An 11,822-nucleotide genomic window follows, 5' to 3' on the forward strand; every position below is an offset into this window, starting at 1 on the left:
ATCTAGATCACTATGTAAGTTAAACCAGTCAACTTTCACATACATATGAAAACATATATACATGAATTAGATAGGAGTATATATGTATGTATATGTATAGTATACATAAAATATGTAATTATATATGAATGTACATATTACATTTGAATATATATAAAGTTGCATGCAATCTTTTTTCTCGAAGGAAAACCGAAACTGTTGTGACTCAATGTCTTTTGATATCTAAACTCTTAACCTCATAACGAATTCCAAAAAGAAGCCCATAAGATACAGAACAACAAATATAAAGTGGATACTTCTGCATGTTACTAAGAAAGTGATCTAAAGCCAGGCACAGTGGCTTGTGACTGTAGTCTCGGCCATGCAGGAGGCTGAGGTGGGAGGATCACTTGGGCCCAAGAGGTCAAGGTCAGCCTGGGCAACATAGCAAGACTCCAGCCTGTCTCAAAAGAAAGGGATCTAATCTAGAATGGTAAGGGATTAAAGCAGTACAGTAGAGGCCAAAATGAAAGACATTCAAGATGACCACAGGATCAGACCCTTTTAAGGCAGGGACTTCACCAGCACAGACCCTACGGCAGCCACTATTTCTGCACACCATTGCTTCCACTGAAAAGAAAATGACACCCAACCCATATAATTCACAATGTCGTAGAATGCTAAATGCGAGTTAAATGTGTGAAGGCACCAAACAAACTTCAAACTATCCCTTTTGATGTTACAATTATTATTTAGAATGTTTCAAAGAAAAAGCAGCAGCTGAGAGGCCATAAAACAATTTTATTTTCCTAAAATACTCATTCCCTGAATGGGCTAATTTATCATAGAATTAATAAAAGTGAAGATAAGGATATCAACTACATTTTTCCTGAAATGTATTAAAATATTACAGAGTTAATGGTTAAATATAAGTTATCCGTTAAAATGTATAACGTCATGGTATGTTATATCATACCATGGTCAAGAAAAGATAAAAAGCAATTAACAAAATGAACTAGGCACTTGGAGTTTTTCTTCTGGTTTTACTACTAATTTGCTGGGACTTCAACACACTCAGTGTTTCTGAGCTTCAGATTCTCATTTATAAAATGTGGAGAACAAAACTTGGTGCTATGTTAAAATGACATGTTACAACAATGTAAAACTTGGAAAATTACAGAGGAATTCTTTCCAACAGTAATATCCAAGGATAAAGACTAAACTAGGCTTCATTGTCTATTAAAGTAATGAGTTATGATATAATTAGTCAGTTTTATAGCAAGAAATTTATCTCCAAAACCTAACAATTATAACATATTAAGATTTCTGCCTGCCACTTCCCAAATACCCTTATCTAGATATTTTTCCCCCAGTTTAAACCTTTTATAATTTGGGTTTTTGAGAGAGAAGAGAAGCAATACTGAATATTAAATATTCAACAAATCTTATATGACAGGCATTCGGAATATGCCAAAGGACAAGTTAGACAAGTGAAATAAGACAAATGAAGTAGAGAGGTAATTTTTTCATGTTGATATTTTTCAGGTAATGATAACTTCTCTGAGTAGAATAATGTAAGGCAAAATGATAGAACTACTGTGTTATTTTAGATAAGGTGTTGACAGATTTTCCCTACTTAAATTTGAAAAGGGGACGGCAAAAGTCCTTTACAAATGCTTGACAAATTAGATAAGGCTCTTTTGTACTTTCTTTTTAAGCAAAGAACTTATCAGTTTAACCTTTAAATTCTCAAAAGTGGCTGGGCGCACTGGCTCATACTGGTAAACCCAACACTTTGGGAAGCCAAGGTGAGAGGATTGCTTGAAGCCTGGGGTTTCGGATCAACTAGGCAACATAGCAAGACCTTGTCTCTACATTAAAATAAAATATCAAGAGTAAAGTCTGAAGGTTCTTACTACAGTTATGCTTGCCAGCAAAAAGTGTTCTTCTGTTTCTTCAACACAGAGCCATCTGACCTCACCTATTTTACTTAAAAGTCCCCAGTGACTTCTGAACACCCATGGGTGTATTTTGTGAAAGCAGGTATGTTTTTCTTTCTTTTTTGTTTTTTAAAGTACCTTAACCTAATCCATTTCCAAATCCAATTTAATTCTATCTCATTTTGCAATCCCTGAATACATTTCGGTATCCTGACAGCTGTCTCATCGTCAATTCACATAATTTTGCAGCTCCACTTAGGAACCTTGCTTGTATGCTCAATATCTTTCTACCGATATATTTCTTTACTCATCCTAATGTGAGAATATATGTCAGGATATATGAAAATATTTAAGCAATGAAAAACCTGGGGAAAGAAAAGAAATGAAAGTCAACAGTGGGAGTAATATTTGCAGAAAGGAGAAAGTTAATTTGAGCAAAATGAAATAATTAATACACTACATGTTTCCTCTATGTAAAAATTATACTAAATATCTTTTAGATTAGTCATGTTGCTTTGAGACTTTTCCATGTTTCCTCTAGACAGCTGCCAATGTTCGCATGGTCTCTGATGAATAAACATGCTGTGACTTGCTTCTAAGGAAACGCCTGTCATGTTCCAGGGAAAAATGACTTCTACACTCTTAAATCAGGAAAACTGTACAAGTCTCATTCATTAGTGACAACGTCGATTTTTCCTTAACGTTTCTATTTCTGGAATGCTCGTATTCTCATTAGGGCATTTCTGCATTCAGATTAACTAAGAAAATAAACTATGTTGGAGGAACACTTATGCTGGGGGGAAAAATCTTGTACTACATCAAACGAGTTTCCTACTTGAGAAACTCAACTAGCATCCAGGTTACTCCTGAACTATTTACTAAGACCAAGGTTATTTTCAGGTTTTCTTCATCTCTTGCAGAACTACCTGTTCTCATTACTGTTTACTCAAACGCTTAACAAGGTAACTATTAGCATATCTGGCAGGAAGACATGCCTCATTTAATATTAACTCACCATGTGACAGCCCCCTTCCTCTCTTCTCAAACATGTGAGGATAAAAAGAAAAGTAGAGTTGTTTGCAATCTGATTTGCGCTGGGTTTTGGAACCAGCAATTGGCCACAGGCACACACACCCCCAATCAGAGGCGCGCACCCCGCTCGCTCCCGGAACTGTCATGCGGGCTGACAGCTGGCACACCCTCCTGTCGCCCTCCACCCGCCTGCAGAAAGCCCACTCCCTACAGTCACCTTGACATTGCTCACCTGCCTGGGCCTCAGCCCATGACCAAGGAAACTTTTGCCCTCCCTCCCCAGGAGCTCACTTACAGGTATCGTCCACCGCTCCCCCAGAGCCCAAACAAGGGTCCCTTTGTTACAATTTTTGCTCCCGGACTCCTCACCCAATTCCTGGCATTCAGCTGGCCTGTAGCAACCCAGGGCAGCCCCGGTAGGAAGGCAACCAAAAACGACCCGAGCCCTCCGCCCGGGCGGCCTCCGAGAAGGCCGGGAGGAAGCAGCCTCCCCGGCCGCGTGGAGGACAGTCAGTGAGTCAGGCCGCCGGCAGGGCAGCGAGTTGCCAGCCAGGTGAAACGGCCGAGGCCTCGCTGTCCTCGCCGGCCTCGCCCTCCCCGGTGAGAGGCGGCGCGGCGCTCTGGGCTTACCTGGCTGGGGCGTCCTGCGGGCGCGGGGTTCGGCCGTCCATCGCCCTGCGGGGCGCTGCGCGGGCTCCAGCTCCCAGGCGGCGCGTCACTGCTGGGGTGGGAGAGGCCGGCGGGTCAGGGCGGGACGCGCGCCTTCCCGAGGCCGGAGCGAAGCTGGCTGAGCGTCAAGAGCCCGCCCGAGCCGCTCCAGCCCCGGCCGGCCCGCCTCCCGGGTGCGCTTCCACCTGCGGGCCCCGGCTCCCAGCCCGCGGGCGCCGCCGCCGTCTCTACAAGGTCTAGCGGGCGCCCAGAGCACGGCGGAGGAGGCGGTGGCGCTGCAGCCCCCGCCCCGTGGGGTTTACTGGGTAGCCATTTGGCGCCTCTCGGAGGGAGAGGAGCCGCCGGGGCTGGAAAAGGAGGAGGAGCGGGGCCGGGCGCACGGGCACCGCTGCCACGCCGGCAGCGCACTCCCAGGCTCCTCCGGCCGAGTTTGCACAAACAAAACGCCCTAGGAAAACTTTTCCCGAAGAGAAGTTGGGAGGGCTGATCTCTCTTTTCCCACCCAAGGCTCCTACGTTCTTTTCCAAAGGAGACAGTAGCTCGCCTGTTCTCCCTCGCGGCTTCCTCTCCTACTCTTCCCTTCCCCGGCCCGCGCTCTTGCCGCTCGGCTCTCAAGCCAGGACTTGAATGGAGAAGCGGCAACCCCTGCGAGGCTCAGCCCAGCGCGGGCAGGGCCGACTCAGCACCTCCCCTGTCCCGCGGGCGGGGTGCGGGCGCTGGCTGGGCGCTGGGGGCCTCGCTGGAGCCCGCTCTCTCACTCACCCTGCCCCATTTCCCTGCCCGGAGTCCGGGAGCTCGCCGCCGCCTCTGCAGCACGGCCGCACATAAGTGGGGACCAGCTCGGCGGCATTGGAGCGAGGGAAGCAGCGAGCCGGAGAGAGGAACGGGGCGGGGGTGGGCCGGGAGCAAGTTGGAATTTCCTTCCCCCAGGGCTTCGGGTCTTTGGGGTCCGGCTGGGGAAGCTGAACCGAAAGAAAGCTCCCAGACGAGGTGTTCCCATTCCCACCGCTAGGCTGCGCTTCGGGAAGGCTGGTGCGCCTGAACCGGACAGGTGCGGGGGAAGGGAGGTTACCTGCCTTGCCAGGATCCGCGGGGAGGATTGGGGCCTCCGCGGAATGCGGTCAGAAACTCGCAGAGTGGGGCCTGCAGCTTGCCCCCCCTAGAGTCCGACCCTCGACGTCCAGGATCGTTTTTTTAAATTTGTGTTTTTAACTTGACCTTTAAGATTGCCATTCTTTTAAAAGCGCACCTGTGACACAGATCTTTCTAATTGGTGGCAGGTTTAAGCTTGCCCTGTCTTCAGAGGCATTTTTTGTAAAAGCCTATAACAGCTCTGACATGAGAACTGGACAACAGTATGTCTAATGACAGTCTATAAACTAAGAATTAAGTAATAGATTGTATTCACTTATTGGAACTTTTACAAGGGTAAAGGAATCAGACACAGCTGTGTGCTTGTTTGTACGTTTTAGTATCCACGTGCATGCCCTTTAGATGATTCTTTACACCTGACAGACAGGTACTAGGTTGGTGCAAAAGTAACTGCGGTTTTTGCCATTTTTTTTTTTTTTAAAAAGTAATGACAAAACCGCAATTACTTTTGCACCACCCTAATATATTTACATATTTTATATTTTTCATAAGCGCCAATTGTTTTAAGATGCGCGCCATTCTGATGGGCCCAAAAATGTGTTTTCAGAAAACAACGTGACATTAAGAAATGAATTTAAAATTAGAGTTTTAAAAACATATTTGGATTAAACTGATGGAGAGATCTTACAGGAAGGAACATCCTGCAGGGGACTTCTGTTGTAGCACTAACATCAAGTAATAAACCTGTGTTAGCCACTGATAGAATAACATTTGGCAGGTATTACAATTAAATTGATATTAATGCTCCTTTAGTTGGTTATCCATTGCAGCAACAAAAAAAGATTGCTGAACTAAATGCCTAGCAATGTGCCATTTGTCTACCACACGCAGGCATTGGTATTTATTTCTTTCAGTGCATAATGTCCTTTCAGTGCATCTTAAATATGAAAAGAAAAAAACACATGGCTCATTTGGATTACAATACTGGAACCATATTAGAAAAAGTTGCTTTTAGAGATTTTAACTAAGAGTAAAGCAATTTATTTAAATACCTCTGGGTTTTAGTCTTTAAACAATAACTCTGTTTAAACAATTTCATGAATCATTTATGCTTCTGAATACAGAGCTGTGCAAGCTTTTACAGTTGCTTGCACAGACAATGATGCAAATATTGAGTAACAGTGAAACTACTTGAAAGTCCATAACTTTCAATCACAAGACAAGATTAAATCTTTAATTAGTTTCAGCCTTAATTTATGACATACTAGTAATATTATGGACCCTAATACCAGTAAGATTAGGCTAATCTTAGTCATAAAACATTCATAACATTTCGTAACCACTGAAGGCATTTTCAGTGCTTACCACTTTTTGCTGTCCTCCTTCTGGTCCTAGGGAGAACTATATGCTCCACCCCATGGAAATTAGGTATGACCCTGTGACTTTGATAAGTGGAAATGTGAACAGACATGAAATGCTTTATTTCCTGGTGAAATTACTGCCAGTGTTTGAGTCTCTATGTTCCCTTCCTTTGCTACTGCAATCATGAAAGCATGTATTAAAATGAAGGTGACACAAGACTGGAATGCTAAACTATTACCCAGAGCACAGCTGCCCTGGAGAGTCCCAGGACCTACAACAGAATCCACATAAGCAAGAAATAAGCTCATGTTGGGCAAAACCACTTAAGAGCACCACCAAGCTTGGTGGTCTTCACATAATGGTACTAAGCTATCCTCACTGTAGCCAGTGATTAGCAAAATAATAATCACAGATTTGCTATAAATCTTTTTTTTTTTTTTTTTTTTTTTTTTGGAGAAGGAGTCTTGTTCCTGTTGCCCAGGCTGGAGTGCAGTGATGCGATCTCGGCTCACTGCAACCTCCATCTCTGGGGTTCAAGTGATTCTCCTGCCTCAGCCTCCCGAGTAGCTGGGATTACAGGTGACCACCACCACGCCTGGCTAATTTTTATATTTTTAGTAGAGACAAGGTTTCACCATGTTGGCCAGGCTGGTCTCGAACTCCTGGCCTCAGGTGATCTGCCCACCACAGCCTCCCAAAGTGCTGGAATTACAGGCATAAGCCACCATGCCTGGCTGCTATAAATCTTTTCACATAACAGGAGAAAACTGCTGTTTTCCAATCTTTCTAGTTATGCAGAGCTGTTTCAAAATTGCCCACGTTTCCAAGATTGCGCTCAATTTCCCCGTTTGGGAATCTCCCCCTCATTTCACCACCCAGCCGATCATTTTAAGTGCCTAAGCATAGGTATTATCCCCTCAGGAATACTTCCCTCATTGCAGAAATAGAAGTAGCCCTTCCCTTTCTTGGCCCCCAGTAGGTTCTGTTAGGTAGGGCAAGGACCCATGACACTTTGTTTCAGTTATTCATTTACATAATGCAGAGTTGGAGGGGTTTATTCTCTTTTTTTTTTTTTTTTGAGACAGAGTCTCACTGTCACCCAGGCTGGACTGCAGTGGCATGATCTTGGCTCACTGTAACCTCCACCACCCAGGATCAAGTGATTCTCCTGCCTCAGCCTCCCGAATAGCTGGGACTACAGGCATGTGCCACGTGCCCGGCTAATTTTTTATATTTTTAGCAGAGATGGGGTTTTACCATGTTGGCCAGGCTGGTCTTGAACTCCTGACCTTGTGATCCGCCTGCCTCGGCCTCCCAAAGTGCTGGGATTATAGGCGTGAGCCACAGTGCCCAGCCTACTCTTAAAGGACCACGTCTTATCCTTTGTCTCCTGAAAGCATAGCCCAGAACACAGGAGACTCTCCACCAGTATTTGTGTACTGAATAAAGGAATGAAGGAAACCTTCAGGCCTTCCCTCCTCAGAAGAATCCTAAAAGGAACTTGATTCAGGGAAAGACTTCAACTCAAAGGGGCTGGTAGGCCATTTTAAATGGAACAGATGGAAGGTGAGTTTGTCTTACTAGAGAAAGAAGACTTATTCTTCACGTGGTTACCTAATGGGGTTAGTACCAAAATCAATGGGTAGAATGAAGCTAAATGAAGGTCCACTTAGCTATATATCTCTCTGAATAATAATCTAGGTTTCATATTCCTCCTGGATAGTAATAAATGGAAAGGAGGTTTACATGCTTAATAAATACCTGTGTGCTTATATAAAAAGCAGATAGGCATGTTAAAGTGGGCCATAATGGTTGGAGTTTGTCTAAAATTTTTGTAAACTATTTGGAATAATGAAAACATTTTTAAATGCTTATTTTAAGTATGTTTTTATTCCACTATAAGTACCACTTGAAAAGCTTTATTTAAAACTGAAAAATTACACTTAAAAGATGGTTAATATCTTTCTGTGCATTTCACCTTTGCACATTACAACCTAAAGGAAGTGTTTATTTTATGTCTTCTTAGATTGTGTACATGTGTGTGTTTGTGGTTTTATATAACAAGATCAGAGTTGTTACATTTCAGTTTTAATAAAAGTCTTATTTCAGACTTTGTATTTCATAGAAACTGCCCAATCTCAGAAAATATGTTATGTTATTTATGCATAAGACTTTGTTGATGAAAACAGGGAGCTGAAAGTCAGAATTGTAGCTTTATTCTCAATTCAGTAATATATGCATAATAGTTAATTATCCATTCATCTCTGTGTAGTGCTTTCATAATTTGAGTATTCCTACATGTATTAACACATAGAAAGTGTTGTTAGAATTTGATGTTCCCTATATAAATGCTTCATGAGAGCTTTATTTCAAAGTACCAAAAATATTTTCTTTGGCTGTCAGGAATCCTGGGCCAGGTTTTGTAATTAGCCACTGCTGTCTTTATCACGGGTATATCTCCTTTTCCCTTCCCTCCTATTCCAATTTGTAATCTTATTTTAATGCCTTTTTTTCAAACTGACCAACAATTAGTAGGTAAGAATAAACTCAACAGATATGTTTGTTGAAATATTATAGTTTCCTTAACACAGAAATGTCTATTCATGAAAAAAAATTTTTGATTTTGTTTCATTGAGAACTTTTTTCTTCTTTGCGCTGAAGTTAGAAATACACAAAGGAAAATATGAAAAATAGTCAACAACTCTTAAATGATTAAATCTTTACTTTGATGTCCAGTGTATGCAATTATAATAAAAACTGACAGAATTAGTTTTGTCCATTGGAACTAAAGCCAATTGTTAAACATTTTAAAGTCAAATATAATAGCTAAAGGCTGTATTGTTTATGTAGTTTTTTAATAACCATAGTAATTGTAGCCATTTTAACTCTCGTCATATCTATTTTAGTATGTGAGTTAAATGACATACTCAAATGAAGTGGTAATACATTTATTCATACTTTCAAGTTTAATGCATACCCCCTTCTTTAAGTACTAGAGATAACAATTATTTTTTGTAGAGTAATTGAGTGTGGGAGATATTTTTATCCAGTTATTTTATATTGTTTAACAGAAGAAATAAAAATCATATTTGGCTAATTTATTCCTAAAATGTAAATAAATCCCTGTTTTTCCTGTATGAAGTTTAGTATTTACTTTGATATCAAAGTTTGAAGAAAATAAATACAATACTATTTTTAAAGGGAAAATATGAATTACACTGTTCATCATCCTATATTTGGAATTACAGAGGTATTTTGTTATATCTGGAGGGTCATTTACAAACAAGCCTTCTAGAGATTGAAAGAACCAAAATAGATGTGCTTTGTTGTCCATTTTAATGAGTTTTTAACTCATCAGATTTTATATTTTGAAACATGAAAAATCACTGAACATTTTTTAGAATAGAACTTCCGAGAAGATTATATATTCATGAATTAAATTTTATTTCAATAAAAGGAGAATTTTATTGGATATCTGCTATACCAAGAATTGGGCTAGGAAAACAAAGATCACAAAGATATTGCCTTTGCCCTTGAGGGGCTCACGGACCATTGGGCTCATCAGTACTTTTTTGTGACTCTCAATCAACTTAAAATCTTAAGGAAATTGGTCAATAATCAGTGTAGGGCCTTTTACTGCTCTCCCAAAAGGTAAATAATTTTTCAGTCCTAAGTATCAGAAGAAGAAATGCCTGAGTTTGGTATGCTATCTCTTAAAATGGTGCTATATTTCTATATTATCATATTCGATGCTAAAAAGAGACTCTTTATTAATATATACACATTCCAGAATAGAGGTGAGGCCTGGGGAAACGTGCACGAGCATGCAGACGTGTAATTTAGTGCTATGAGCATGAAAGAGGGCAGAGTTTTCAGTGCCCATTCAAACTTCAAGCTCAGATTCTCCATCAACACAAAGTTAACTAAAATCTACTTTCTCATTTCCCTCTTCAACATATCCTTTTGTCAAATAAATTTCTGTTTCTGGATTCTGTAATTCTGTTGGCAATAATTTTCTTACTCATTGGAAGTAAATAAGCTCTTTTATCACATTAAAGTATCAGTTTTGTTCAAAGTACCTTGGTAATTTAAAATTCAAATACCATTCAAATATGGGTGTTTCTTTAAAAAAAAGGAAAAGGACAAAAAAAGTCAACTTTTATCTATTTTATGTGATACAATTTACTAAATCTTGGTATTTAGGATTTTACATTGCCTATTCAATTCTAACTGTAACTAGAAGCTGCATCGCTCCCTTTCTGTCTTACAGAGCTTCCTAAAGCCTTAACTGCTTGTCAGTTTCCATGTATTTCAAAATGTACAGCTTTGAGCCAGGTAGCCACTGATTTGGCTTTCCAGGCATAAAACCTAACAAGTCTCAGCATATTTCATCCTGGCAGGGTTCCTTGCCCCTCCTGTGCCTTTTCTTCTGGGAGGCTGAGTGTGTGTGCGGTTAACTAAGTACCACAGTGGTTAAGAGCTCAGGCTCTGGAGCCAGACAGATTTGAGTTTACATCCCTGGATTTGATTCTTACTATCTGGGTGACATTAGGAAATTTACTGTTCCTGGCAAAGAGTAAGTGTCCAGTGAGGGTAATGGAGGCCCTTATTAAACAAATGTTACAAATGGGAGCCAGCTGTGTCTCTGCAAGCTGCCATCTGTAAAGCAGAAAATTTCCTCCTCCAAGCTGAGAGCTCTGGCTTCTTGCTCTATAGTGACCTTGGGTAAATCACTTAACTGTGGGATCTTCAATTTCCTTATCTCTGTAATGAATCTATAAATATTCTGTGATCTCTGAGTTTTCTCACTATCTATGTTGAGTAATCAAGCTCATTGTGTTAAAAACGATTGAATTCATATATATGGACTATTAATAACAAGATGTCACATACAGCCCCTTGCAAAGCACTCTCACTTATTGAATCTAGTTTGAGCCACTTAAAGGCTTGCAGAGATTGACATTCATATCCTTATTTCACTGTTCTGGAAACTGAAGCAAAGACTTGCCCAAAGCCTTGATACTAGTAAAGTAGCAAAACTAGAATCAAAAGTTATTTATTCTGATTTTTACTTTATTTTGCAGTAGCATTACAGTTACCTCGTTGCAATCATAGCAGATTAAAAAAGTTATCCCAGAGCAAATAAATATTATTGTGTGAGCAGCATGCTGAATATCTTCTCCTATCTCCTAGGCCATCTTCAAAGGTACTGCCTACCTGAACCTGCCTTGTCCCAAAGGACACACTTCAATCTGGGGAGAGTTTAAAGTTGTAGACATATCCATTTTCATTTAAGGAATATGAAGATCAGGGAGGCAAAATATAGAGATATAGAGAGGAAAAACTGAGAGATGATCAGAAATTCAGACGCATTCGGAATGAGCACCCTTGACCATACCAAGAACAAAGACTCTATAAAAATGTGAAGTCTTATTATTGTTCATCCATGTTCTACGTGGGATCCACCCAAGACATTGAAAACTGTACAGAACAGGGTGAAATTGAATCAGATCATTCTGTACTCCTAACAAGGTCCACCCCATGAGAGACTTGCAGCAGAATTAATGACACTGTATATTTTCCTCTACTAACAACAACAAGAACAACAACAACAACAATCTAGGAAAATCAAAGGCAGCCCGACATGGAAAAAAACACAAAATGAATATTTGGATTACAAATAGTGTGATGGGAAGAACACACTGCCAAAAGTCCACCTAGTATGTTGAAATTACTGTTTCTAGCACA

General features: G+C 40.8%; 1 protein-coding gene and 1 long non-coding RNA gene across 11 annotated transcripts in view, besides 1 other annotated feature; one reads left to right on the plus strand and one right to left on the minus strand.

Annotated features, from left to right (window-relative positions):
• Nucleotides 1-4,502, minus strand: part of COBLL1 (cordon-bleu WH2 repeat protein like 1) — a 184,146-nt gene extending 179,644 nt beyond the window's left edge. For 4 of the 10 annotated variants that reach the window (NM_001365671.1, NM_001365670.2, NM_001278460.2 and 1 more), the window contains exons 1-2: nucleotides 4,383-4,502; nucleotides 3,582-3,672 (exon numbers count right to left, since the gene is read on the minus strand). In NM_001365671.1, the coding sequence (NP_001352600.1) occupies nucleotides 3,582-3,672; nucleotides 4,383-4,470 (179 nt within the window). In that variant the 5' untranslated portion in view covers nucleotides 4,471-4,502. Of the gene's footprint in view, nucleotides 1-3,581; nucleotides 3,859-4,135; nucleotides 4,250-4,382 lie in introns of those variants that run through there. The other 6 variants (NM_001365673.2, NM_001365675.2, NM_001365672.2 and 3 more) reach the window with 3 other exon arrangements.
• On the plus strand, nucleotides 3,175-11,822 carry LOC101929633 (uncharacterized). The gene is made up of 2 exons (NR_110574.1): nucleotides 3,175-3,248; nucleotides 11,268-11,822. It is a non-coding gene; the product is annotated as an uncharacterized LOC101929633 (long non-coding RNA).
• Nucleotides 4,223-4,432: a silencer, noted in NCBI's record as "silent region_12065". NCBI's record gives its function as "represses an Ori minimal core promoter by ATAC-STARR-seq in GM12878 lymphoblastoid cells {active_cell/tissue: GM12878}" and the evidence as "EXISTENCE:reporter gene assay evidence [ECO:0000049][PMID:35858748]".

This window comes from Homo sapiens, chromosome 2 (assembly GCF_000001405.40).
Source record: "Homo sapiens chromosome 2, GRCh38.p14 Primary Assembly".
Classification (NCBI taxonomy): Eukaryota; Metazoa; Chordata; class Mammalia; order Primates; family Hominidae; genus Homo; species Homo sapiens.